At 44.9% G+C, this 27,283-nt stretch overlaps 1 protein-coding gene across 13 annotated transcripts in view, besides 1 other annotated feature; it reads left to right on the top strand.

The window, feature by feature from the left end:
• The window catches only part of LRRC74A (leucine rich repeat containing 74A), a 43,897-nt gene that overhangs the window by 5,483 nt on the left and 11,131 nt on the right, over positions 1-27,283 (top strand). For 4 of the 13 annotated variants that reach the window (XM_047431014.1, XM_047431015.1, XM_011536487.2 and 1 more), the window contains 7 exons: positions 4,317-4,424; positions 5,985-6,081; positions 12,533-12,582; positions 12,930-13,011; positions 20,475-20,560; positions 21,396-21,520; positions 25,490-25,577. In XM_047431014.1, the coding sequence (XP_047286970.1) occupies positions 4,317-4,424; positions 5,985-6,081; positions 12,533-12,582; positions 12,930-13,011; positions 20,475-20,560; positions 21,396-21,518 (546 nt within the window). In that variant the 3' untranslated portion in view covers positions 21,519-21,520; positions 25,490-25,577. Of the gene's footprint in view, positions 1-4,316; positions 4,425-5,984; positions 6,082-12,532; positions 12,583-12,929; positions 13,012-20,474; positions 20,561-21,325; positions 21,521-25,489; positions 25,586-27,283 lie in introns of those variants that run through there. The other 9 variants (XM_017021035.3, NM_001385106.1, NM_194287.3 and 6 more) reach the window with 5 other exon arrangements.
• Positions 796-1,090: a silencer, noted in NCBI's record as "tiled region #2360; HepG2 Repressive DNase matched - State 5:Enh". NCBI's record gives its function as "represses a minimal TATA promoter and a strong SV40 promoter by Sharpr-MPRA in HepG2 cells {active_cell/tissue: HepG2}" and the evidence as "EXISTENCE:reporter gene assay evidence [ECO:0000049][PMID:27701403]".

Below are 27,283 nucleotides of genomic sequence, written 5' to 3' on the forward strand. Positions count from 1 at the left end.
CAAGGACTTGACCTTGAGTTCATCATGACTTTATATAATTATAACTGATTTACACACAAAACTGACTCCCATCACAGAAAAACAGAAAACCTAACAACTGCCTGTCAGCATAGCACTGTTTGTCCACTTAGAAAAGTAAACAGAAAATTCCATTATAAAAAAGCTCAGTAAGGTAGAGAGGTAGATGTGTCTTTAGAGGTGACATTTAAAATTGGTAATAGTTAAATTATCCATGGAAAGAATGAACAGAGAAAAATAAAGAGGACTTACAGGACCACCAGGTTCATATGCTCACTGTGCAGTAAGGACCAATACACTGAAACAGCAGAGTTTGCAGCAAAGAAAGAGTTTAATGATCACAGGGTGGCCAAGCAAGGAAATGAAAGGAACCCTTCCATCCATTTCCCTAAGGAGTTCTGGTCTAGAGTTGTTTGTTTGAGACAGGTTTTCTCTGTTGTCCAGTCTGGAATGCAGTAGCATGATCATGGCTCACTGCAGATTTGACCTCCTGAGCTTAAGTGATCCTCCTGCCTCAGCCTCTTGATTATTTAGGACCACAGGTATTCACTATTGCACCCAACTAATTTTTGCATTTTTAGTAGAGAAGGAGTCTTGCTATGTTGCCCAGGCTGGTCTCAAACTCCTGGGCTCAGGTGATCCACCCACCTCAGGATCCTAAACTGCTGGGATTACAGGCATAAGCCACTGGACCTGGCCTGGCCAACAGTTTTTAAGGGGATCTTGGAGGACAAGGGGCTGAAAAATTAGGATCATTGATTGGTCGGGACAAGGGGGATTAAATCATCAGGAGGTAGCAGCTGCATGCTTTTGGTGAGTCAGCTCCTCTTGGGGTCCTTCAGACCAGCTGATGTCAGTAGTAGTTTCACCAGCATCTCAGATGGAAAACTGAACATTTCACAATGCTGCAATGTTATCTGCAGAGCAGTGAAAAGGAACTATGATCCTGTGACAGAGTCTATGTGGTTCTGGGGCAACAGGCAGCAAACAACTCTGAGGAAGGGGTCAGAGAGCAGCTGACCTCATGACCAATGCTGTGTGTGCTGCAAGCTGGGCTGATTCCCATTTCTCCCCTCCCTTCTTCCCTGATCAATTTTATAAAGTTGATAGGGACAGTTTCAGGACTGAGAAATAATTCTTTAAAAATATTATTTATAAAGGATCTGAAAGAAGAAAAGGAGTCAGTGAATTCAATAGAGAATGAGTGACTGAAAGACAGGAGAAGCTACAGAATGGTAGAGACAGCCAAACACAAGCTGCAGGAAAACTGAGTTGGCCAAGTTCAATGATGCAGACATCTGAGAGAGTGATGAATGAGGAAGGCAATTCTGTGCGTCCATGTCTATTCAGTTATGAAATACATGGCAAGCTCCAAAAAGTCTTGAAATACACTGTCATTGTTGGTTGCTAGAAGGTATAGTAGTCCACCCTTACCCACAGTTTCACTGTCTACTGTTTCAGTTGTTCTTACAGTACAATAAGGTATTTTGAGAGAGAACGAGAGAGAGAGATGCCACATTCACATCACTTTTTTTTTTTTTTTTTTTTTTTGAGACAGAGTCTCACTCTGTCTCCCAGGCTGGAGTGCAGGGTCATGATCTGAGCTCACTGCAACTTCTACCTCCCAGGTTCAAGTGATTCTCCTGCCTCAGCCTCCCGAGTAGCTGGGATTACAGGTGCGCACCACCATGCCTGGCTAATTTTTCGTATTTTTAGTAGAGATGGGGTTTCACTATGTTGGCCAGGCTGGTCTTGAACTTCTGGCCTCAAGTGATCCTCCCGCCTTGGCCTCTCAAAGTGCTGGGATTACAGGCATGAGCCACCATGCCCTGGCAACATTACTTTTATGATAGTATATTATAATAAATGTTCTATTTTATTATTAGTTATTGTTACCCTCTTATTGTGCCTAATTTGTGAATTAAACTTTATCATGGGTAAGTATATATAGGAAAAAAACATAGTATATTTAGGGTTTGGTACTATCTTTGGTATCAGGCATTTACCAGCGGTCTTGATGTTTTCCCCCAAGGATAGGGGTGAACTACTGTAATCACTGTTAGAATGTAAGTTCCTTGTATGATAAGGATAGGCTTATGTGCTATTCAAGTGCCTAGCCCCCACTTGGCATTGAATGGTGTATTTGTAGAATACATGGTCTTATTTTTCCTCACTTTCCCCAACACACTCATTCTTTCTTAAACATATAACAGCATTTGCGTTTAGCATTTGTGTGCACTTTAAGAAGTGACACAAAATGTGAGATTGCACTGTTTTCCGGGGATGGGAAGAAAGGAGCCGAGAAAGAACAAAGCCGTCTTGAGATTTATCAAGGGTGGAAAGGCTGATTAATGAAGTGTTAGGAACGCACCATTACCTCATGAGCTTCGTGGGAAAAACATGGATGATAATGACATCCTCTCAGGACTTGGACCACTTGTTTCGTAGTAACAGCGGTTTCTGTTTGAGGGGAGTTTCTTCTTCCCCCATTCTCTGTATCATTCATTTGACAATTAATCATCATGACATTCTGGTAGACTGAACTTCTATTTGCTCTTTGTACTGATTAACTTTTCACATGTTTGTGTTTCCCTGGCCTAGATTAGGAGCACGCTAATAGCAGGCATCGTATTTCATCCTTGTGTGTATCCCTCGACAGCCTAGCACTGTACCCTTGCATGTGGGGGCAGCAGGTGGTGTGAGAATGGGAATGTTCTCTGTTAATCCTTGTTCCCCAGCAGTGAACACAGATAGTGACAAATAGACAATGGCCCGTGTGAAATAAATGTGGATGGATTTGGGGACTGGGCCTCCTGCTTCCCCCTGGAATGTGCTGGTCCCCAGTATGAATCTGGCAGTGGTGATTCGACTCATGTTTCTAGACACTCCTAAATAGCACCTAGACGGGAGGCCCCCTGAGCCATCTCCCTCACCTTTGAGCACAACTCAAGGCAATTGAATTTTGCTCAGCCCAGAGAGCTGAGACCAGAAGACATTTCAGGAAGCCCCAGGGTGAACCATCCTGCATTGCAATAGCTTGGACTATCACATTTTCCTTTTTCAGGGGAGAGGGTGGCGGAGGACCAGCATTAACACTCCTTCCACCTGCTACTTCTCTTGCTCCTTAGTGGGCCTTGAAAATGCTCAAATCCAAACCTGTGTCTGTTCTCTGTACCTGTGTGTACTGGGAACAAGGTGGGGAAGGGAAGATCAAAGTTCTGATTAGAGCTAACCCAAGTCCTTCATGCTGCAATGCGAATCCTTTCCTCTCTCTCCTCTTGCCCCTCATAGAAATGCAGACTAGTGGCTCACGCCTGTAATCTCAGCACTTTGGGAGGCCAAGGCGGGTGGATCACCTGAGGTCAGAAGTTTAAGACGAGCCTGGTGAACATGGTGAAACCTCATCTCTACTCAAAAAAATACAAAAATTAGCCAGGTGTGGTGGTGGGCACCTGTAATCCCAGCTACTCAGGAGGCTGAGGCAGGGAGGATTGCTTGAATCCAGGAAGCAGAGGTTGCAGTGAGCCGAGATCACGCCACTGCACTCCATCCTGGGCGACAGAGCAAGACTCCATCTCAAAAAAAAAAAAAAAAGAAATGCAGACTATCTTGGATCTAGATATTCACCAAAGATTTATATGTCCAATTCCTTCCAAACAGACTTGAGGTCACCTCCTAGTAAAGAGAGTACCAGAGCGAGGTGTGGTGGCTCATGCCTGTAATTCCAGCAACTTGGGAGGCTAAGGCAGGAGGATCACTTGAGCCCAGGAGTTTGAGATCAGCCTGGGCAACATAGACCCCGTCTCAAAAAATAATAATAAATAAATGAATACAAATTAAAAAGAGTGTCCCAGATAAAACTTAAGCGTAAATTAGAAGAAAGGCCTCTGAAGAAAGCAAAATCAATGCTTTAAAGGACCTCCTTGCAAGAATCTTTATGTTTAAATATCCTTATTCAATGTATCAAGTTTTCCTTAATCTTGGAGTAGGTCACAGTTCTGTCCCCTTAGGGCTAAATAGTTAAAATCTGTTTAGCTCATCCTTGTGCCTCCAACTTGTCAGGGTTTTAATTGCTTTCAGGATCCTTTTATAAATTCTCCCAGAATCAGCGTATTGTCCTAGCAAAACTCCACGGGTTGGTTCAGCCCCCGTTCTGGTCTCCTCGCCCTTGCCAGGCCTTCAGAATTCCTAGCCTGCATCTCCACGCCCATTCACATGGCTGGCCCAGGGCGAGCAGGGAACTGACTGGGTCACCAACCACTTCTGTGTCTCTCTCCCTCCCCTTGTGCTGGCTGAAGTCCAACATGGCTGTTACCAAACTGGAGCTGGAAGACAATTGCATCATGGAGGAGGGCGTCTTGAGCCTGGTGGAGATGCTACAAGAGAACTACTACCTCCAGGAGATGGTACTGTGCCCCCCTGTGCTGGCTCTTACCATCATCCCTGGGGATTCACAACCCACTGGAGACAAGCCAGAGGCCCTGCCAGGACCCAGGCTGCCTCCAGGCTCCTGCCCGCCCCTGCCCTTCCCACACGACTTCTTAGAGGAGGGCCACATGTGAGAGGCTGTGTTTCCTATGGCTGTAGGAAAACCTAAGAAACAATTTATGGCTGGGCGCGGTGGCTCACACCTGCAATCCCAGCACTTTGGGAGGCCGAGGTGGGAGGATCGCCTGAGGTCAGGAGTTCAAACCCAGCCTGGCCAACATGGTGAAACCCCGTCTCTACTAAAAGTACAAAAATTAGCAGGCATGGTGGTGTAATCCCAGCTACTTAGGAGGCTGAGGCAGGAGAATGGCTTGAACCCAGCAGGTGGAGATTGCAGTGAGCTGAGATCGCACCACAGCACTCCAGCCTGGGCGACAAGAATGAGACTCCATCTCAAAAAAAAAAAAAAAAAAAGAAACCACTTCTGTCTGGACCTTAGAAGCCCTTAAAAATGATAAATGTGGCCAGGCATGATGGCTCACGCCTGTAATCCCGACACTTTGGGAAGGCAAAGTGGGCAGATCACCTGAGGTCAGAAGTTCAAGACCAGCCTGGCCAACATGGTGGAACCCCGCCTCTACTAAAAATATAAAAACTTAGCTGTGCATGGTGGTGTGTGCCTGTAATCCCAGCTACTCGGGAGGCTGAGGCAGGAGAATCACTTGAACCCCAGAGGCAGAGGTTGCAGTTAGCCGAGATGACGCCACTGCACTCCAGCCTGGGTGACAGAGTGAGACTCTGTTTCAAAAAAAAATTGATAAATGTAGCTCTGCATAGTTGCCTTAAAGTGAACTTTCTTAAAGAAAGTAAAGACATGAAATAATGTCATAAAAGACAATGTGCCTAGAGATGGCTGGCGGTGATGGTTACACAATGTGAATATGCTTAATACCACGCCACTGGACACTGAAAAACGGCAAAGATGGTAAATAATATGTTATGCTTATTTTACCATCATAAAAAGAAATTCAAAGAAAAGGGGGAACAACCAATTAAGACAATAATGGCCACTTTATATAAAGTCTCTCCCACTAGCTTAAAAGGACAATTCATACTTCCCAAATCAATGAGTAGAATTTACAATGATTATGCACTCTAAACTCATTTTTCACTGTTTCACTGCCAAGCTCTCCAAATGAAGCTGTTTTGGGTTTTAATACAAAGAAACAAAATAGTATGCTTATCTGAAGCACCAAGGCTAAATTGGGAAAACAGGGAGTCCTTGAAGCCAACTTCAAAAAACTGAGACCAGCTAGCCCACGGGTCCCACCGGGAGGCCCTGGAAAAGCTGGCTCTAGAGCCCGGTTTCCTATTGCCCTTCTCTTCGTCCTTGGCACCTCCCTAATCCTCCTAATCCTTTCCCACCCCAACCCTACTCCCTCAGCACAGGACTCAAGTAAACCACAAAAGACATCATTTTTTCATGAGGGCCCTTTGGTGAGCTTTTTTACATACCGAAGTGTTTTCTTGCCTTTTAGAATATTTCCAACAATCACCTTGGTTTGGAGGGGGCCAGAATCATCTCAGATTTCTTTGAGAGAAACAGTTCTTCTATCTGGAGCCTTGAGCTTTCAGGTGAGCACATGGAAAGGGAGGGAGAAGACACTGGGAATCAGAGGGAGGGAAGAGGGGAAAAACAGAGAATTCAATGTCTCATTGAACCAGACCATGTCCTTCTAGTCTTGGAGACCAGAATACTGCATCTATGCCTGCTAAACCCTCCCAGTCACACTCCCCTAGCCCCCGCCATTTATCATCCATATCTGACATTACAGATGATATATAAACAATAATTTATCATGTACTTTACCACCCAAACTGAATAGGGAACTATTAATTAACTGGAACCACAAGCAAACTGAGATATCTTGCACCCAATCATAAACTATGTTTAATATGATTAAGAACATAAAATAAAATCATAAAAGAACAAATCACTTAAAAAGAGACCTCCCCTCCTCTCCACACCAAGGGTTTCTTACAATGAAAAATTTATAGTCACTGATATTAAAGACTGAACAAATAAATTCAATGGCACATTAGTTACAGGTGAATAGAATTAGTGGAAAACATTTTATCTATCTTTGCAGCATAGAAAGACAAAGACATAGAGAATATAAAAGATAAAAGAATGAAATGAATGACTAGTTTCCAGAAGGAGAAGAAATGAATGAGCAGCAATATTTGAACAAATAACAGCTAACATGTTCCCTGAATTGATAAATGTGCAGATACAGGAATCCCAGTAACTCCTAAGAAAGGTATATAAAAAAGAATCCACACTTGATTATATCTCTGAAAAACCATTAACACACAGAGAAGATCTGAAGAGTGTCTAGGGAAAAAATACAGAAATAAAGTTTGTGTATTTTTCTCTATAAAGACGGGTTGTCCCCATCTCACCATGTTGTCCAGGCTAGTCTCAAACTCCTGGGCTCAAGCAATCCTCCCGCCTCAGCCTCCCAAAGTGGTGGGATTACAGGCATAAGCCACCATGCCCAGCCTTAGTTCGTGTATTTTTAACATAAATGTTTTTACATGTCAGTTATTGTTCTCCAATTTTTCTTGTTTTCCACTAAATATGTCTTGGATTTCTTTCTATGGCAGAACAAATAGATTTATCTAATTCTCTTGAACTGCTGGCTAGTATTCTGAGTTATGGACATACCATAGTTTATTTAACATCCCCCTATTTGGGAGAAAGGAGATTAAAGTCATTTCTAATTTTGCCTTCAAGTAATGTTTTAAAGGACTTTCTTGTACATGTATCTTTTAGGCACATGTTCTTGTATTTCTAGATCGACACCCAGGAGCACAATTACTGAATATGAAGATGTATCCATTTTTGTGAACTTAACAACTGATTTCCAAATTTCCCTTTAAAAAGACTGCCAGGTTATAATTCTACCAATGGACTGTTGCCTATACCATCCCCAGAAGGGAAATAACAAGCAATTTGTGAATCAAAATGGTTAAGCATGTGGGTGTAGAAGTCACAGTGCTTGGGTTCAAATCCCAGCTTTGACACTGGGCAAGTTTTTTAAACAGTTTGTGCCTCATTTTCTCATTCATAAAATAAGGATAATTATATTACCTCAGATGGTTATTGTGAAGATTAAGTGAATTAAAATCTAAAACTCCTAGAACTATACCTAGTACATAAGTATTCAATGTGTTTCTCGCTATTATTGTCTTTGTTACTGTTACACATTCTATTACTATTGAAATAGAACACTTTTTCAGAAGCTCACTTCCACTTCTATTTTCTTTTCTATGAAATGTCAATTGTTGTATGGGGTTGTTAGTGTGACTGAGTTTTAGCCATTCTTCATAAACTATAGATATTCATACTTGAATGTTAGAATGTTAGATACGGCTTTATTTATGGTACTTTCTCGACCTCGACTCACTGCAACCCCCGCCTCCCAGGTTCAAGCAATTCTCCTGCCTCAGCCTCCTGAGTAGCTGGGACTATAGGTGCCCGCCACCACACCCAGCTAATTTTTGTATTTTTAGTAGACACGGGGTTTCACCATGTTGGCCAGGATGGTCTCGATCTCTTGACCTTGTGATCTGCCCGCCTCAGCCTCCCAAAGTGCTGGAATTACAGGCTTGAGACACCGTGCCCAGCCTGTTTATGGTACTTTCTTGTAGCAAAGTTTATATCTTTTATTGATGTCAAGTTTTATAGTCTTTTTCCTTTATGTATTTAATTTTTGTAGCCTGGCTTTAAAACTCTTTCCTAAAGTTTATAAAAATATTTTCCTGAACCAGGAGTGGTGGCATGTACCGACAGTCCCATCTACTCAGGAGGCTGAGGTGGGAAAATTGCTTGAGCCCAGGACTGGCCCCCCTGGGCAACATAGCAAGACCCCATCTATAAAAAAGAAAAAGAAAAAAAATTAGGTAAAAATATTTTCCTTTATTTTCTTCTATTTTTGTTGTTGTTGTGGTTTCTACTCTTAGCTCTCTAATATATCTAGTACTTGTTTGTGCATGGAATGAAGTAGAAATCAGATGTTTTATTTCCAAAACTGATAACCAGGTACTCCAGCATCATCAATGTAATAATTGATCCTTTTCTCATTAATTTGAAATGTCATCTTTATCATGTATTAAACTTCCATTATAAATATAGGTTTCCTTCTAGAGTCTCTATTTTATTTCATTAATCTATTTATGTATTTCTTTTTTTTTTTTTTTTTTGAGACGGAGTCTCACTGTCACCCAGGCTGGAGTGCAGTGGCACAATCTCGGCTCACTGCAGGCTCTGCCCCCCGGGGTTCACACCATTCTCCTGCCTCAGCCTCCCGAGTAGCGGGGACTACAGGCGCCCGCCACCTCGCCCGGCTAATTTTTTGTATTTTTAGTAGAGACGGGGTTTCACCGTGTTAGCCAGGATGGTCTTGATCTCCTGACCTCGTGATCCGCCTGCCTCGGCCTCCCAAAGTGCTGGGATTACAGGCATGAGCCACCGCACCTGGCCTATTTATGTATTTCTATGTCAACACTGCATTGTCTTAATATTTGTTTAGAATATTAAAATTATAATTACTACATATTATAACATAAGATGTTGTGACTAATACAAAAAATGATGATGTACTATTTAATATATAAGTTATAAAATCTTATAATAAATATTTTGCATTTCTTTGTTTTTGAGACGGAGTCTCCCTCTGTCGCCCAGGCTGGAGTGCAGTGGTGCCATCTCAGCTTGTTATAACCTCTGCCTCCTGGGCTCAAGTGATTCTCCTGCCTCAGCCTCCCGAGTAGCTGGAATTACAGGCGCCTGCTGCCATGCCCAGCTAATTTTTGTATTTTTAGTAGAGACAGAGTTTTGCCATGTTGGCCAGGCTGGTCTCGAACTCCTGACCTCAAGTGATCCAACTGCCTCAGCCTCCCAGAGTGCTGGGATTACAGGCATGAGCCACTGTGCCCAGCCAATAAATATGTTTCGTGTGTGAGTGGGCAAAGACTACCCCTTTTTTCAAAGTAATCTTGAATCTTTTTTTCAAAGTAATCTTGAATTTTTTTTCAAAATAATTCTGCAATCTTGGCTATTAGTATTGTAAGTAATAGTAGTCTTGGCTATTCTTGTGCAGTTTCTCCTCCAGGTGAATTTTAGAATCATTTTGTCAAGTTCTATTTAAGAAAAAAAAGAAAAAAAACACCTGTTGGGGTTTTGGTTGGGGTTCCATTTAATATTCTAGATTAATTTATGAAAGAACTGACATTCACAATATTGAGTCTCCTCATTTATGAACATGGTTTATCTCTACTCCTTCAGGTATTTTTATATTCTTTTTTTTTCTTTTTCTTTTTTTTTTTTTTTAGAAGGAGTTTCACTCTTGTTGCCAGGCTGGAGTGCAATGGCATGATCTTGGCTCACTGCAGTCTCTGCCTCCTGGGTTCAAGCGATTCTCCTGCCTCAGCCTACCGAGTAGCTGAGATTACAGGCATGTGCCACCACACCCAGCTAATTTTGTACTTTTAGTAGAGATGGGGTTTCTCCATGTTGGTCAGGCTGGTCTCGAATTCCCAGCCTCAGGTGATCCACCCGCCTCAGCCTCCCAAAGTGCTGGGATTACAGGTGTGAGCTACTGTGCCCAGCCCCAGGTCTTTTTACATTCTTGAGTAAAGTTTTAGTTTCTTCTATTATAAGCCTTGCATTATTTATATTAGGTTTATTTCTAGGTCTTCTATTATTTTATCTTATGTGAACAGAATGTTTTTTTCTATCACATTTTCTAATTGGTCATTACCGGTGTGTCTGAAAGCTATTAATTTTTGTACATTAATTCTATATCCAGTCACTTTATTAAATTATCTTATGAGTTCTAACATTTTGTTAATTAATTTTATAGAATTATTTAGATAGGTGATTATACCTGCAAATAATGAAAGTTTTTTCTTTTCCAATATTTATATCTCCTAATTATTTTTCTGGTTGCATTGGCTAAGACCCCTAACATAATGTGTTAACATAGTACAGAAAGTTCTTTGTAAAAATACAAATCACCCAGTCCTATCCCAGACTGGTGAAATCAGAATCTTTGGCAGGAGAAATCTTGGAATCTGTGTTTTATCAAATTTCACAAATAATTCTCTTACAACCAGCTCTGTAGTATCTGTAACCACTGATTTAAACACAAGAATTTGAATAACTAATCACCTAGTTTTATGCATTGACTAGCTTATTATCTCACTTTATTGCACTGCTAACAGACACAGCCAAACAAGTATTTGTGTTCCAGTGAATGCATTCATTCATTCATTCATTCATTCATTCACTCACTTTACTAAGGACCTGTTATGTGCCAAGCACTATTTAGGTGGTAGAGATTATTGAGGGTTCAAAGGAGGAAATTTGGGAATAAGGCTCTATGTCATGTACTTCCCAGAAATCACCAGTGTCTTACATTGCTTAGCAGGGCCACAACTCAGGTAAGGTGAGTGAGCCATTTGCGTTGGTCACAAAATGTAAGGAGTGCCAAAATATCCTGATGTGCAAAATATCAAGACATTAAATAAAAACAGCATCTAGCAGGGATTGAATGGACTGAGGTGAATAAGGTCTAGTCATGTGTGTGCAGGGTCAGATTTTAAAATTATAAAGACACCAGGTGCGAATCCCAGCACTTTAGGAGGCTGAGGTGGGCAGATCACAAGGTCAGGAGTTTGAGACCAGCCTGACCAACATGTTGAAACTGTGTCTGTACTAAAAATATAAAAATTAGCTGGGTGTGGTGGTGCACAACCTGTAATCCCAGTTACTCAGGAGGCTGAGGCAGGAGAATTGCTTGAACCCAGGAGATGGAGGTTGCAGTAAGCCGAGATCACGCCACTGCACTGCACTCCAGTCTGGGTGACAGAGCGAGACTCCGTCTCAAAAAAAAAAAAAAAAAAAAAAAAAAAAAAAAAAAACTTGTTCAATATAGATGATTTTACACTAATTTTGGTTTTTTAAAATGTTGTATTAGGATATTATTCTTCTTGATTACTGAGTTTTTAGGCACCTCTTAAATTTTGCACACATGGTAAGTGTCTCACTCACAGGTGTCCCAGTCCTGCTGCTTGAACTTGGATGAGCATTTTTAGGATGTTATAGACTCTAGGCACTAGGCTGGGGGTTGATGCTGCTAATGAATGCACAGGGTATGCTACCAACTCCTGGAAGTTCATGGCAGAGAGAAAAGGCAATGTTAAAAGAGAGGGTAAACAGTTGCCTTGTTCTCTTTTGTCCATGTAATACTTGCTTTAAGTCCCTTCCTGTCCTGTCCTGTCCCTTCCTTTTTTATTTGATTTTATTATTTTATTTTTGAGGTGAAGTCTTTCTCTGTCACCCAGGCTGGAGTGCAGTGGCGTTGTGATCTCAGCTCACTGCAATCTCCACCTCCCAGATTCAAGCATTTCTCGTGCCTCAGCCTCCTGAGTAGCTGGGACCACAGGTGTGCGCCATCATGCCTAATTTTTGTATTCTTAGTAGAGACAGGGTTTTGCCATATTGGCCAGACTGGTCTCGAACTCCTGACCTCAGGTGATCCACTCGCCTTGGCCTGTAAAAGTTCTGGGATTATAGGCATGAGCCACAGTACCCAGGCTCCTTTTCTTTTTTTAAAAACAGGATCTTGGTCTGTCACCCAGGCTGGAGTGCAGTGGCACCAACATGGCACACTGCAGCCTCGACCTCCTGGGTTCAAGTGATCCTCCCACCTCAGCCTCCAAAGTAGCTGGGACCACAGGTTCATGCCACCATGACTGGCTAATTTTTTTAAAAATTCTTTGTAGAGACAAGGGCTCACTATGTTGCCCAGGCTGGTCTCAAACTCCTGGGCTCAAGTCATCCTCCCACTTCCGCCTCCCAAAGTGCTGGGATTACAGGCGTAAGCCAATGCGTCTGGCCCCTACCACCTTTTTTCTGTTCGATTGTTCTAAAGGGAAGTGGACTGGGAGGGGCAGGGGGTGGGAGAGGAAGGGAGCCATGGTCTAGCAGTGCATCACTGACACACCACCCTCACTACAGGAAATGACTTCAAGGAAGACTCCGCAGCACTGCTCTGCCAAGCCCTGTCGGTAAGAGGCAGGGAGTGCAGCCAAGCCACGTGGGCGATGTCCCTGGGAGATCTGGGCAACCTGGGGCTGCTATGGGCACAGTAACGTGAGGCTACTTTCACATGTTAGGGACTGGGGAGTGTTTAGACCCTGCCAACCCCAACAAAGGCACAGCAAATGGTAGAGCTGTTTATATGGCACTAAGTTCTCCCAGCAGCCATCAACAGTCCAACAAAAAATGCCTAAGACATTGTCTTCACCTAATTTTTGGTACATCAGAGCCCCACCATCATACTGCCCTGAGATAAGTAAGATATTTGCAATCAGAAGACAAAAAATCCTTCTCTTTCCCCTGTTTGTTTCTGTAGACCAATTACCAAATTAAAAAGCTGGATCTCAGTCACAACCAATTCTCTGATGTAGGAGGGGAGCACCTGGGCCAGATGCTGGGTGAGTCTCCCTGGAGGAAGGGACAGCAAAGGGGAGGGATAGGGAAGAATCACTTGGCAGAGCGGAATCTCCCTTTTAAACATGATTTTTAAATGTTGTGATTATAAAAGTGATGTAAACATGCCCAAAATACATTCAGAATTTGGGTGCAGTGGCTTATGCCTGTAATCCCAGAACTTCAGGAGCCTGAGGCAGAAGGATTGCTTGAGCCCAGGAGTTCAAGATCACCCTGGGCAACACAGGGACACCCTGTCTCTATAAAATTTCAAAAAATTAGCCAGGTGTGGTGGTGCACACCTGTAATCCCAGCTACTCGGAAGGCTGAGGTGGGAGGATTCCTTGATCCCAGGAAGTAGAGGCTGCAGTGAGCCATGATTGTGCCACTCCACTGCAGCCTGGGCAACAGAGAGAGGCCCTGTCTCAAAAGAAGAAGCACAAGAAGAAGGAAAAGAAGAAGGGGAAGGGAAGGGGAAGAGGGAGGGGGAGGGGCAGCAGCAAACACCTGGACATGGGAAGTAAAACTTTACGATGATTAGAAGAACACAGAAACAACTAACAACTCAGGAAGGCTAAGGACTCTTAAGTATGGCCCAGTAAGCATAAACGGTCCAAAAGCAATGGAAAAAGTACCTTTTGGGTACTATGCTTATTACCTGGGTGATGAAATAATCAGTACACCAAACCCCTGGGACATGCAATTTACCTATATAACAAACCAGCACATGTAGGCCTGAACCTAAAAGTTTTAAAAATTCCCATATTTGACAACAATACATTTGAAACATGCATATGATAAAAAGACACACAACCATGAACAACCTTAAAAGACAAGCAACAGGCTGGGCGTGGTGGCTTACGCCTGTAGTCCCAGCACTTCGGGAGGCCGAGGTGGGCAGATCACGAGGTCAAGAGATCAAGACCATCCTGGCCAACATGGTGAAACCCCATCTCTACTAAAAATACAAAATTAGCTGGATGTGGTGGTGCATGCCTGTAATCCTAGCTACTCGGGAAGCTGAGGCAGGAGAATCACCTGAACCCAAGAGGCGGTGGTTGCAGTGAGCCAAGATGGCGACACTGCACTCCAGCCTGGGCAACAGAAGGAGACTCCAGCTCAAAAACAAAAACAAAGACAGGCAACAGACAGGGAGTAGATATTTGCAGCATTTGTAGAGTACAAAAAATAGTATTCAGAATGTTGATAAAAGATCCTTAGCTCAATTAGACAATGATAAATAGCCTCAATAGAGCAATGGTCAAGGCATATGCATAGCAAAAGAAGAAAGTCGAGTGCCCACATCTCTTAACTAGTTAGAGAAATGAAAGGTTCTCCTTGTCATCTTTAAAGCTGTGAAATTTTAAAGCCAGTGAATGTCAAAGGCTGCGGACAACCGAGCGAAATAAGAATACTTCAAGCTGCCGGGCACTTTTGAGAACAACTTGATGGTCCTTGGTAAACTTGAAAATGTGTCTATTCTATGATGCAGAAATTCCCTCCCATCAAGGGGAATTGTCTCAGAGAAGCTCTCACACATACACAGAGAAATGTGTGAGGAGGTTATTACAGCATCGCCATAAAAGAGGAAAAAAAAATAGTAACAACCTAAATAGTCATCCCCAGGCAAATGAGTACAAAAGAGGAAGTTGTCACAGGAGTCTAGGCAAGACAGGAAAATAGCTTGAGCTCAGGGAGGAGGTGGGGATAGAGAAGAGTGAATGAATTCAGAATATACTTTGGGGGTAAAGCCAAAAGGACTTGCTGATGTGAAGAATGGGGGAAAGAGAGAGATAGACTCATGGTCATTTTGCTTCAGCTATTGGTTGGATGATGGTGTTGTTTACGTGGATGGAGACAACTCAGGGAGCAACAGGGACAGGAGATAGGAGCCCCGTTTTCCATTTTGGCCACGTGATGTTTGCAATGGCCATTTGAACCTACATAGAGAAGTCAGGTAGATGGTTTGCTATATGAGTTTAGAGCTGGGTGAAGAGATCAGGGCTGAAGATACACATTTGGGGTCATAGGTATATAGATGTATTTAAAACCATGAGGCAAGATGAAGTCATCTAGTCAGGGAGTGTAGACAGAGTTGAGTAGGTGGCCGTCGAACTGACCTTTGGGTCACTCCGACATTTTTAGGTTTCACAGAGGAGGAAGAGGAGTCTGAGGAGTGGTCAGTCAAATAGGAGGGAAACCAGAAAAGCGAGGTGGCAGGAGCCGAGGAAGGGTGCAGTGCAGGAAGAAGATCGACAGTTGCATCAAATGCTGTTGAGAGATCAAATAAGACGAGGATAAAATAGTAACCATGGCACTTGGCAGCATGGAGTGTTAGTGGCTTTGAAAGTCCTATTTTAACTATTCACAGTAACAAAGACAGGGAATCAACCTAAATGCCCATCAGTAGTAGACTGGATTAAAAAAATTTGGTGCATATACACCACGGAATACTATGCAGTCACAAAAAAACTGAAATCATGTTCCTTGCAGGAACAGGGTTGGAGCTGGAGGACATTATCCTTAGCAAACTAACATAGGAAGAGAAAACCGAATACCACCTGTTCTCACTTATAAGTGGCAGCTAAATTATGAGAACACACGAACACAGAGAGGGGAACAGACACTGGGGGACTAACTGAGGGTGGAGGGAGGGAGGAGGGAGAGGAACGGGAAAAATAACTGAGTACTAGGCTTAATACTTGGGTGATGAAATAATCTGTACAACAAACCCTGTGACACAAGTTTACCTATATAACAAACCTGCACATGTACCCCTGAACTTAAAATTTAAAAAAAAAAAAAGTGCTGTTTTAGTGGAGTGGGTGAGTTATGGAAACCCAAATGGAGGAGGTTGAGTTGAAAATGGAGGCCTGGCACAGTGGCTCATGCCTGTAATCCCAGTGCTTTGGGAGGCCAAGATGGGAAGCCAGGAGCTCAAGACCAGCTTGGGCAACATAGTGAGACCCACTCTCTACAAAAAATTCAAAAGTTGGGCTGGGTACAGTGTCTCACACCTGTAATCCCAGCACTTTGGGAGGCTGAGGCGGGTGGATCACCTGAGGTCAGGAGTTCCAGACCAGCCTGGCCAACATGGTGAATCCCTGTCTCTACTAAAAATACAAACATTAGCCGGTGTAGTGGTGTGCGCCCGTAATCCCAGCTGCTAGAGAGACTGAGGCACAAGAACCGTTTGAACCTGGGAGGCAGAGGTTGCAGTAAGATGAGATCCTGGGGTGGGGGGAGTGGGGAGGGATAGCATTAGGAGATATACCTAATGTTTAATGACGAGTTAATGGGTGCAGCACACCAACATGGTACATGTATACATATGTAACAAACCTGCACGTTGTGCACATGTAACCTAAAACTTAAAGTATGATAAAAAAATAAAATAAAATATTACTTTCAAAAATAAATAAATAAATAAATAAATAAATAAATAAAAGACGAGATCCTGCTATTGCACTCCAGCCTGGGTGACAGAGTGAGACTCCATCTCAAAAAAAAAAAAAATCAAAAACTAGCTGGGCATGGTGGCACATGCCTATAGTCCCAGCTACTTGGGAGGCTAAGGCAGGAGAACTGCTTGAGCCCAGGAGTTAGAGGTTATCGTAAGCTGTGATCATGCCATTGCACTCCAGCCTGAGCAACAGAGTGAGACCCTGTCCTCCAAAAAGAAAAAGAAAATAGGATGCAAAGCAAAAAGAACACTATACGCAACCACAGAAGTTCTGCTGGGAAGGTTGGAACAGAAAAAGGGGGCAGGAGCCAAGGGAGACATAGAGTCCAAGGAGAGTTCTTAAGGATGGAAAATGCTGAGAGGAAGAAAGAAGAATAAACTGATGCTACAGAAGAAGGAGGAGGTAATTACAGGAGCAAAGTCCATGAGAAGGCTGCAGGCAATAGAGTCCAGAACAAAAGTGCGGAGCTCGCTGGCCTGAGAGAGCAGGAGGGACAGTTCATTCATTGAAAAATGGACGAGGAAAGGGTGGGTGCGGGTGCAGTAAGTGGGTAGATTTCATGGTGGCATTTGAAGCCTGTCATTGCCGCTATTTTCTCAGTGAAGTAGGAGGCAAGATCTTCAGCTGAAAGTTCAGTTCAGACCACTAGGGTTGATGGGAGAGCAGAAGGTATAAAATACCATGCAGGAGGGAGGAGCAACATGTAATGGAAGCACCTTTCCATGTGGGGCAGTTTGAGTCTCTGTCTGAAAACTGAGGTCATAAATTTAACATGAGACAGACTGTGCTCTCTCTTTTGTTTTGTTTTTGAGGCGGAGTCTCGCTCTGTTGCCCAGGCTGGGTGGAGTGCAGTGGCACAATCTTGGCTCACTGCAGCCTCTGCCTCCCGGGTGCAAGCAATTCTCGTGCCTCAACCTCCTGAGTAGCTGGGATTATACGCCCAAGCCATCACACCCAGCTAATTTTTTGTATTTTTGGTAGAGATGGGTTTTCACCATGTTGGCCAGGATGGTCTCCAACACCTGACCTCAAGTGATCCACCCTCCTCGGCCTCCCAAAGAGCTGGGATTACAGATGTGAGCCACTGCCCCGGGCCTGTGCTGTCTTTTAAAATTGTTATAATCGTACTGCAAGTGCAGCTTTTAAAAACACTTACTATTGCTGGGCGGGGTAGATCATGCCTGTAATCCCAACACTTTCGGAGGCCGAGGCGGGTGGATCACCTGAGGTCAGGAGTTCAAGACCAGCCTGGCCAATATGGTGAAAACCTGTCTCTACTAAAAATACAAAAAATTAGCTGGACGTGGTGACTTGGGTGTATAATCCCAGCTACTCGGGAGGGTGAGGCAGGAGAATCACTTGAACCTGGGAGGCAGAGGTTGCAGTGAGCAGACATCGTGCCACTGCACTCCAGCCTGGGCAACAAGAGGGAAATTCTGCCTCAAAAAAAAAAAACCCAAAAAACAAAAAAAAAACCCAACACTTATTATTTGAAGTGATTGCTATGTGACAGGCATCAAATTGGGCATTTTACATCAATCCTCATTTAAAAAAAACTCTATATAGGGCCAGGCGTGGTGGCTCACGCCTGTAATCCCAGCACTTTGGGAGGCCGAGGCGGGCGGATCACAAGGTCAGGAGATTGAGACCATCCTGGCTAACACGGTGAAACCCCGTCTCTACTAAAAATACATAAAATTAGCCAGGCATGGTGGTGGGTGCCTGTAGCCCCAGCTACTCGGGAGGCTGAGGCAGGATAATGGCGTGAACCTGGAAGGTGGAGCTTGCAGTGAGCGGAGATTGCGCCACTGCACTCCAGCCTGGGCGACAGACGGAGACCCCGTCTCAAAAAAACAAAACAAAACAACTCTATACAGGTTGATATCTCCATCGTACAGATAAGGAAACAGATGTAAAGGAAGGATAAGTAACCTGCCTGGGATCACATGGGTAGTAAGTGGTGAGATCAGAATTATAATCTAACTTGTGTGGCCATTTGAGTGATGCAGGTGTGCAAGGTGTAGCTTAAATGAGGGAATTGGCAGAGAAGAGGAAATAAGGGTAAAAAGAGAGTGAAGGAGGGGAGGGGGTAATGAAGGCAGGAGAAAGTTTGTTCCCAAAATTATATAAGGTGTTGTGCACTTTACTAAAAACTCACACCCAGGGTTGACACAAAGAGAAGCATGATCAGAACGTAGTGCACTGTCCATGAAAAATAAGAAATAGGCCCGTGCAGTGGCTCATGCCTATAATCCCAGCACTTTGGGAGTCCGAGGCGGGTGGATCACCTGAGGTCAGGAGTTCGAGACCAGCCTGACCAACATGATGAAACCCTGTCTCTACTAAAAATACAAAAAATTAGCTGGGCGTGGTGGCAGGCGCCTATAATCCCAGCTGCCCGGGAGGCTGAAGCAGGAGAATCGCTTGAACCCAGGAGGCGGAGGTTGCAGTGAGCCGAGATTGTCAAGGGCAAAACTCTGTCTCAAAAAAAAAAAAAAAAAAAAGAAAGAAAGAAAGAAAGAAAAGAAATAAGACATTATTCCTGGGCCAGAGGCCTAAAGGCAATTCCTCCCATTATCCTCCCATTCAGTAATGGTTCAAGAGGACTTTAGCCTTTCCATCAATGGCCTCCTTGGCATAACTGCCCTCCCCAAATAAAAACAACAATAATAATGTGTTTAAATAGGATGTTCCAACCCTGTGGAACATGTAAGCAAAATCATCTTCAGGTCAAAACAAAAGTATGATTTCTGTGCAAACCCAGCTTCTCGCCAAGCCTGGTGCCTCCCCACTTCCAACTGATTGTGCCCCTGAGCCTCTGCTGGAGAGAAATTCTGGAGTCACCACTGCAGCCGTGGCCTGCCATGATAGGCATCATGTGACGTAATATGCCAGGTCCATCACAGCCTTCCTGTGTAAATACAGCCCCTGAAGATGTTTTCCAGCTACTTCTGTCTATTTTAATTCATAATATTCCACCAGATAAATAATTCTTGCTTTTATTTATTTATTTTTGAGATGCAGTCTTGCTCTGTCACCCAGGCTGGAGTGCAATGGCACCATCTTGGCTCACTGCAAACTCCGCCTCCCAGGTTCAATCAGTTCTCCTGCCTCAGCTTCCTGAGTAGCTGGGACTACAGGTGTGTGCCACCACACCCAGTGAATTTTTGTATTTTTAGTAGAGACGGGGTTTCATCATGTTGGCCAGGCTGGTCTCAAACTCCTGACCTCTGGTGATCCACCTGCCTCGGCCTCCCAAAGTGCTGGGATTACAGGTGTGAGCCACCGTGCCTGGCCAAATAATTCTCACTTTTTTTTTTTTTTGAGACAGAGTCTCGCTCTGTCGCCAGGCTGGAGTGCAGTGGCGTGATCTCCACTCACTGCAACCTCTGCCTCCCGGGTTCAAGCGATTCTCCTGCCTCAGCCTCCTGAGTAGCTGGGACTACAGGCACGCGCCACCGCACCCAGCTAATTTTTGTATTTTTAGTAGAGACGCAGTTTCACCATGTTGGCCAGGGTGGTCTCGATCTCTTGACTTCGTGATCTGCCCATGTCAGCCTCCCAAAGTGCTGGGATTACAGGTGTGAGCCACTGTGCCTGGCTAATTCTTACTTTTATAAATGATGCCATGGTAAACATCTACAAGCACCTTGCTCTTCCCATATTCTGTGCTGTAGTCTTAGGTAGAGTCTCAGAGGTGAGTAGGGTATGCACATTTTAATGGGAAAATATCTGTGATCAGATAATATCTGCCAAATAGACTATACCAATTTCCTTCCCACCTAAACTATGTAAGGAGGATTATTTCACCACATCTTTGCCAGCTTTGGGGATCATCTTACAATTTTGTGTTTAAATGAATAACTAAAAAAATTATTATCTGAGAATTTTACTTGCATGACCACTGAGTGGTCTTTATCCCCAGTGTCATGGACATCTGTTAACTCTGAGAATGGGTTTTCTGGGCTGTGGGAGATGCTAAGCCGATTCCCTCCCTGTTTCAGCCATCAACGTGGGGCTCACGTCACTGGATCTGAGCTGGAATAACTTCCACACAAGGGGAGCTGTGGCCTTGTGCAATGGTCTCCGGGTAAGGCACTCTCCAGGAGTGATGTGTGGAGCCCAGTTGAGGACAGCCAGGGCCTCCCATCCTGCCATCCTAAGCCTCTTCCTCATGGTCACCATCAATGAGGGCATACTGGGCTCTCATCAAATACTTTTCAAGTTATTGTTCTCCCTCCCACAATTCCTGGATGCACTTTTTTTTTTTTTTTTTGAGATGGAGTCTTGCTCTGTGGCCCGGGCTAGAGTGCAGTGGTGCAATCTCGGCTCACTGCAGCCACCACCTCCCTGGTTCAAGCGATTCTCCTGCCTCAGCCTCCTGAGTAGCTGAGACTACAGGTGCCCGCCACCATGCCCGGCTATTTTTTGTATTTTTAGTAGAAACGGGGTTGTACCATGTTGGCCAGGCTGGTCTCGAACTCCTGACCTTGTGATCCACCCACCTCAGCCTCCTAAAGTGCTGGGATTACAGGCGTGAGCCACTGCACCTGGCCTGCACATTATTCTTTAGTATAATCGTATCTGCTGAGGCCAGGGTGACATCTTTGGATACACTTCAAGAGGACAGTTTAATTAGTGGGTAGGGAATGACCAGAAGCCAAAGGGAGGGAGTCTCATGAGTACTTGAGACTGAGCCCAGCTGGGAGCTCTGAATGATCTGGCAGACCCATCAGTCCTGGGGACCACTGAGCACCCGGTCTGGATGCCAACAGGGGGTAGAAATCGGGACCCTTTTGGTTGGATGAGTCACGCGTAACCTTGATGCTGGTGCTGTTCTCCCCTCTTCCTGGAGGGTAATGTGACCCTGACAAAGCTGGATCTCTCCATGAATGGCTTTGGGAATGAGGTGGCTCTGGCCCTAGGGGAAGTCCTCCGACTCAACCGCTGCCTGGTCTACCTGGATATCGGTGGCAATGACATCGGCAATGAAGGGGCCTCCAAAATCAGCAAAGGACTGGAATCCAATGAAAGCCTCAGAGTTCTGAAGGTAGTCTTCAGCTGGAAAGGGTGTGTGTGTGTGTGTGTGTGTGTGTGTGTGTTTGTGTATGTGTTGGGATAAGTTGGGGGCTGCAGAGTACTGGAGAGAATAATTGGGAATATCTGTACTTCATATATGCATGTACTTTTTACCATCTCTTGACTGTAAATGCAGTGACCATTCTCTACTATAAAGCCAGTGTCACCCTCAGTGCTCCCTGGTACACTGCAGATCTTTCTAACAGGTCTTCCTTCCTCCCATCTGGGTCTCCTTCGGGATCTTCTCCACCTTCCTCCCATCTGGGTCTCCTTCAGGATCTTCTCCACATTGCCACCGGAGTGTGCTTTTTGTTTTGTTTTGTTTTGTTTTGAGACAGGGTCTGGCTCTGTCCCCCAGGCTGGAGTGCAGTGGTACAATCTTGGCTCACTGCAACCTCCGCCTCCCAGGTTCAAACCATCCTCCCACCTCGGCCTCCGAAAGTGCTGGGATTACAGGCATGAGCCACTGTGCCTAGCCCTCAGAATGTGCTTTTTGAACACAAATCTGACATCCATTCCCCTTCCCCCAGCCCCTCAGTCTCCTGTCTTTCAGCTTAGACCCCTGCATGGCTTCCTGTTGCTCAGATCCTGTTCGCTGAGCCCCAAGTGCCCCTCCAGCCTCAGTCCACCCGGTGCTCTCCCTTGCTCTGCACCCAAGACCCCCTGGTCTTCTCTCCACTCCTTTCCTCCTACTACAGAGGCTTGGCCACTCCGCCTCCACTTGCTTGCTGCTGGGATCCTCCGTCTAGGGGACCTGCTCCCAGAGCCCTGCTCCCTACTTCCCATGGAACTTGCTGCCCTTCCTAATTCCATGCATGTGAGGGCTCTTTGCTCGCCTGTCATCCCCTCAAATGTGAAAGCTTCATCAGAATGAAGACTGTGTTTGGGCCAGGTGCGGTGGCTTATGCCTGTAATCCCAGCCCTTTGGGAGGCCAAGGTGGGTGGATCGCTTGAGGTCACCAGTTTAAGACCAGCCTGGCCAACATGGTGAAACCTTGTCTCTACTAAAAATACAAAATTAGCCAGGCGTGATTGTGCATGCCTGTAATCCCAACTACTTGGGAGGCTGAGGCAGGAGAATCACTGAACCCAGGAGGCGGAGGTTGCAGTGAGCCGAGACCATGCCACTGCACTCCAGCCTGGGTGACAGAGCAAGACTCTGTCTCAAAAAAAAGAATGAAGACTGGTTTTGCCCATCATTAAACTCCTCATACCTAGTCCCTCATACCTAGCATAGTGTTGGGCACACTGTAGAAGCCCAGTGTGCTTCTGATGAATGAATGAATTAATGAATACATATTTCATTTTAAATTAATTTACTAGTAGATGCTAATTTATAATATAGATGCTATTGAGCAGTTGGAAAATAAATGAAAGGTGAGGACTTCTATTAATCATCCCCCTTTCTGGGGCACCTGCCAAGAGCCAGCTGTCGTTACTCATAGCCTCACCTGGTAATGTGGGCTCTGTTAGCCCCACTTGTCAGATGAGAAAACTGAGGCTGTGTGATTGCTTATGCCACACAAGTAGCAGGAGGCAGAGGGAAGCCTGCTGTACGTGGTTTTCCATGGCAACTCCAACTCCCTCAAGATGTGAGGGTGGTTGGAGAGACCACAGATGTGAGGGTCCTGAAGAAGGAAAGCAGTGAGGAGACAGTGAGGAAGGGGCTGCCATCTGAGAGGACAACCATGAGGAGCTGCTAAGAGGACAGGAGGAAGCCAGATTCTGACAGGCAGAAGGAGCACAGTGACTACAGACCAAACAGACTGGCCATCTAGTGACCAGGAGATCTGGGAGTCCCAGCTGGGGTGGAGCGGGGCCAGGCACAACTCAGACAGAGACTGACCCAGGCTGTGGGTGGCTCAGCCCCAGTGGCTGAGGAAGCCAGGGACAGTCTGAGAAACTGAATTTTAAAAGATTAAGCAGTTGCCTCAGCAAAATGGCAATAGAGGTCTTTGCTGTTTTGTGGGTATACATGGTTTAAACCATTTTTTACCGCTTTTCTCATTTTTCCACAATGACCATATGTAATGAATATATTTCAATTTTCTAAAATGTTTTAGAAGTAAAAGAGAAAAGTTTAAGACAAAACTCTTAGTTTGGCCATCATGGAGACCACATCAACTTTGCCACAGGAATTATCTATGGGTCTCCACATCCAGCCCTGATGCCCCTTGCCCTAAGCTTGGAAAAATAAGGAATTCCCATTAGGAAGTGAGTCCAGCAAAGGATTCCAGATGCTGAGCTCCACGAGGTCCAGGCCCTAGTCTGCATTTTCTCACTGGAGTACATCAGAGCCTGGGACGCAGCTGACATATACTAGGGGCTCAGTAAGAGTTTTGGCTGCCTCATGTTGAAGCCACTTAGCTGAAAGCCTTCAATAATAAGAACTATTGTTCATTGACAGCATACTGCATACCAGGCACTTGTTTTAATGCTTTGCCTGAATTGATATGGTAAGTCCTCAGAGCAGCCATAGGTGATAAGTACAAAGTGATCAGGGAATTAATGCAAGGCCAGGCAGCTGGTAAGCAGAGCCACCAGGCTCCACAGTCCCTTCCATTAACTTCCATCCATGCTTCAGCAGCTCCTAGCTCCACTGGGATAATGTCCTTGTTCCTTCTCCAAGCCTATAAGGTTCTCCATGATGTGGCCCATCCCAGCTCTGTGGCCTCATTCTCTCTGCTTCTGCTCACAAACATCTCTTGCTGTTTCACACCCCTATGCCTTTGCACTTGCCTACTCTTTTCTTCTTTGGTGAATCTTGTTTCCTCCTCTGGTTTTGCCCCCCTTCCTCAGACCTCACTAATCCTCATTAGTCCTGCAAGGCTTAGCTCCATGTTCCCCTCCCCTATGCTGCATGCTCCTTTCCTTGCTCCTGCAGTACCCAGGTGTACCTCTGTCACTGCTGTCATAACACTTCTGATGCTATTGGCTTGTTTGCCTGTCTCCCCCAATTACAGTGTTAAGTTACCCGAGGGCAGAAACCTTGCCATGTCTGCCTGTGTGTCCCTCAGTGCTTAGTGCAGTAGCTGGCATATGGCAAGCCTCTAATTAATATGTGCTGGATGGATGGATGGATGGATGGATGGATGGATGGATGGATGGATGGATGAGCGGTGAGATGAACAGATTGCTGGCTGGCTGGATGGATGGATGGATGACAGGTGGATGGATGAGTAGATGAGATGGTTGGATAAATGAGCAGTTGGATGGACAGATGCATGGGTGGATGGATGGATGAGCAGTGAGATGGATAAGTGAGTGGATGGATGGATGGATGGATGAGCAGTGAGATGGATAAGTGAGTGGATGGATGGATGGATGGATGAGCAGTGAGATGGATAAGTGAGTGGATGGATGGATGGATGGATGGATGCATGGATGGATGAGAGGTGGATGGATGAGGAGATGGACAGGTGGATGAATAGATAGATGGTTGGGTGGATGAGCAGTGAGATGGATAGATGGGTGGGTGAGTGGATGGATGCATGGAGGGGAGAGCAGTGAGATGGATAAGTTGGTGGTTGGATGGATGGATGGATGGATGGATGGATGGATGGATGGATGGATAGGCGGATGGATGAGCAGTGAGATGGATGAGTATATAGGTGGATGAATGGATGGATAGATGGTTGGATGGATGAGCAGTGAGATGGACAGATGGTGGGTAGGTGGATAGATGGATGGATGGATGGGAGAGCAGTGAGATGGATAAATGGGTGGGTAGATGGATGGATGAATGGATGGATGGATGGATGGATGAGCAGTGAGATAGGCAGACAGATGGATAAACAAACAGAAGGACAAGGAGATAATTACTTACAGTGAAGTCTGGGTGTGAGACAGAGGTTGTGATTTGATGAGATGTAGAAACTGTGCTCTGGGCCAGCCTCTCCTCCCATCTCAGCCTCCTCTTGTCTTGATTCTCCCTCTATAGCTTTTCCTGAATCCCATAAATATGGATGGGGCTATTTTACTTATCCTGGCTATCAAGAGGAACCCCAAATCCAGGATGGAAGAGCTTGATATTTCCGTAAGTGATCAAATGGTAGTTGCTTGCGTCTGGGCACAAGCCAGTGACCCTGTCCACTCTATACTCTGTGTTGGCCAGAGCCAACAGCTCTATCCCTCACAGGCCCTCACACAAGTGCTCCATGAAAGGGTCACTTCTTTTGTTACAGCTCTGCCCTCTCCAGGGATCCTTTTAGGAAGAGTAGCTATTAGTCAGTAACATCATAGTGAGAAATAATTTACCAGATGCTAGAAACTAGGGCTATGAAAACCTGAGAGTAGAGATAAGAAAATGCCAAAAAGAAAGGCAGGAGGACTCCAAAACAGAATTCTTTAACATCAGCTTTGCAGATGAGTGGCCCTCGGTCCCTGAATGGTTCCAGAATCACAAAATTTGTAGAATCTGGGTATTAAAACACATACTTTATTTTCATTTCATGAGTTGGCCTGTTAGACTCAGAGCAGTATTTCTGGGTGAAAATCTCTTGATAAAGGAGGAAAGCCCCAGGAGGTGACTTCAGATCCTGCTGGGAACTCTTGCCTGAATCAGCACACAGGTGGCATCTGATGATAGCCTATACTTGTCTACCATTTTATACTCTGTTTTTCCCAAAGTGATTTTATATATTCCAGCTCATTTTTATCCTACTCTAGAAGGTAGGTAGAATACTGTATTAATTTCCTAAGGCTGCTGTGAAGTACCACACACTGGGTGGCTTAAACAACAGACATGTATTGTCTCACAGTTCTGGAGGCTAGAAGTCCAAGAGTAAGGTGTCAGCAGGCCTGATTCCTTCTTAGGGCTGTGAGAGAGAATCTGTTCCTGACCTCTCCCCTGGCTTCTGATGGTTCCTGTCATGCTTTGGTGTTCCTTAGCTTGTAGAAGCAACACTCCCATCTCTACCTTCTGCTTCACATGGCATTCTCCCTATCTCTGTATCCAAATGTCCCCTTGATATAAGGACACAGTCTTATTAGATTAGTACCCACCCTAAGTACCTCATTTTAACTTGACCATCTGCAAAGACCCTGTTTCCAAACAAGTTCACATTCACGGGTCCTAGGGGTTAGAACTCCAACATCTTTTTTTGGGAGGGGGCAAAATTCAACCCATAACAAGTGCTTTTCCTCATTTTCCCATTTTACATATAAGTAAACTGAAACAGAGTCTCACTCTGTTGCCCAGGCTGGAGTGCAGTAATGTGATGTCGGCTCACCTCCGCCTCCTGGGTTCAAGCAGTTCTGTGCCTCAGCCTCCAGAGTATCTGGGACTACAGGTGTGTGCCAACATGCCAGGCTAATTTTTTGTATTTTTAGTAGAGATGGGGTTTCACCATTTTGCCCAGGCTGGTCTCGAACTCCCGACCTCAAGTGATCCACCCACTTCAGCCTCCCAAAGTGCTGGGATTAGAGGTGTGAGCCACTGCACTCAGCCTCCAGTGATGGCATTTGAATATGTAAACCCAAGCTCCTTAAAACTGAATAATTAATACAATGTGGGTTTTTACTTGCCACGGATTTTGAGACATTGTCAAACATAGCTGCTTTTCTTTCCCTTTGTTCTCTCACCTGTCCTCCCTGCCGCAGGCCCTTCTTGTGCTTCCTGGCTCTTCCTTCCTTTCCCCATCCTCATGCTCCAGTTCTCAATCTGCAGGCCAGGATGCTGCCTTCACCCCTGAGTCTCCACTGCAGATTCAGACTTTGTTGGCATCTGTATTTC

This window comes from Homo sapiens, chromosome 14 (assembly GCF_000001405.40).
Source record: "Homo sapiens chromosome 14, GRCh38.p14 Primary Assembly".
Lineage (NCBI taxonomy): Eukaryota > Metazoa > Chordata > Mammalia > Primates > Hominidae > Homo > Homo sapiens.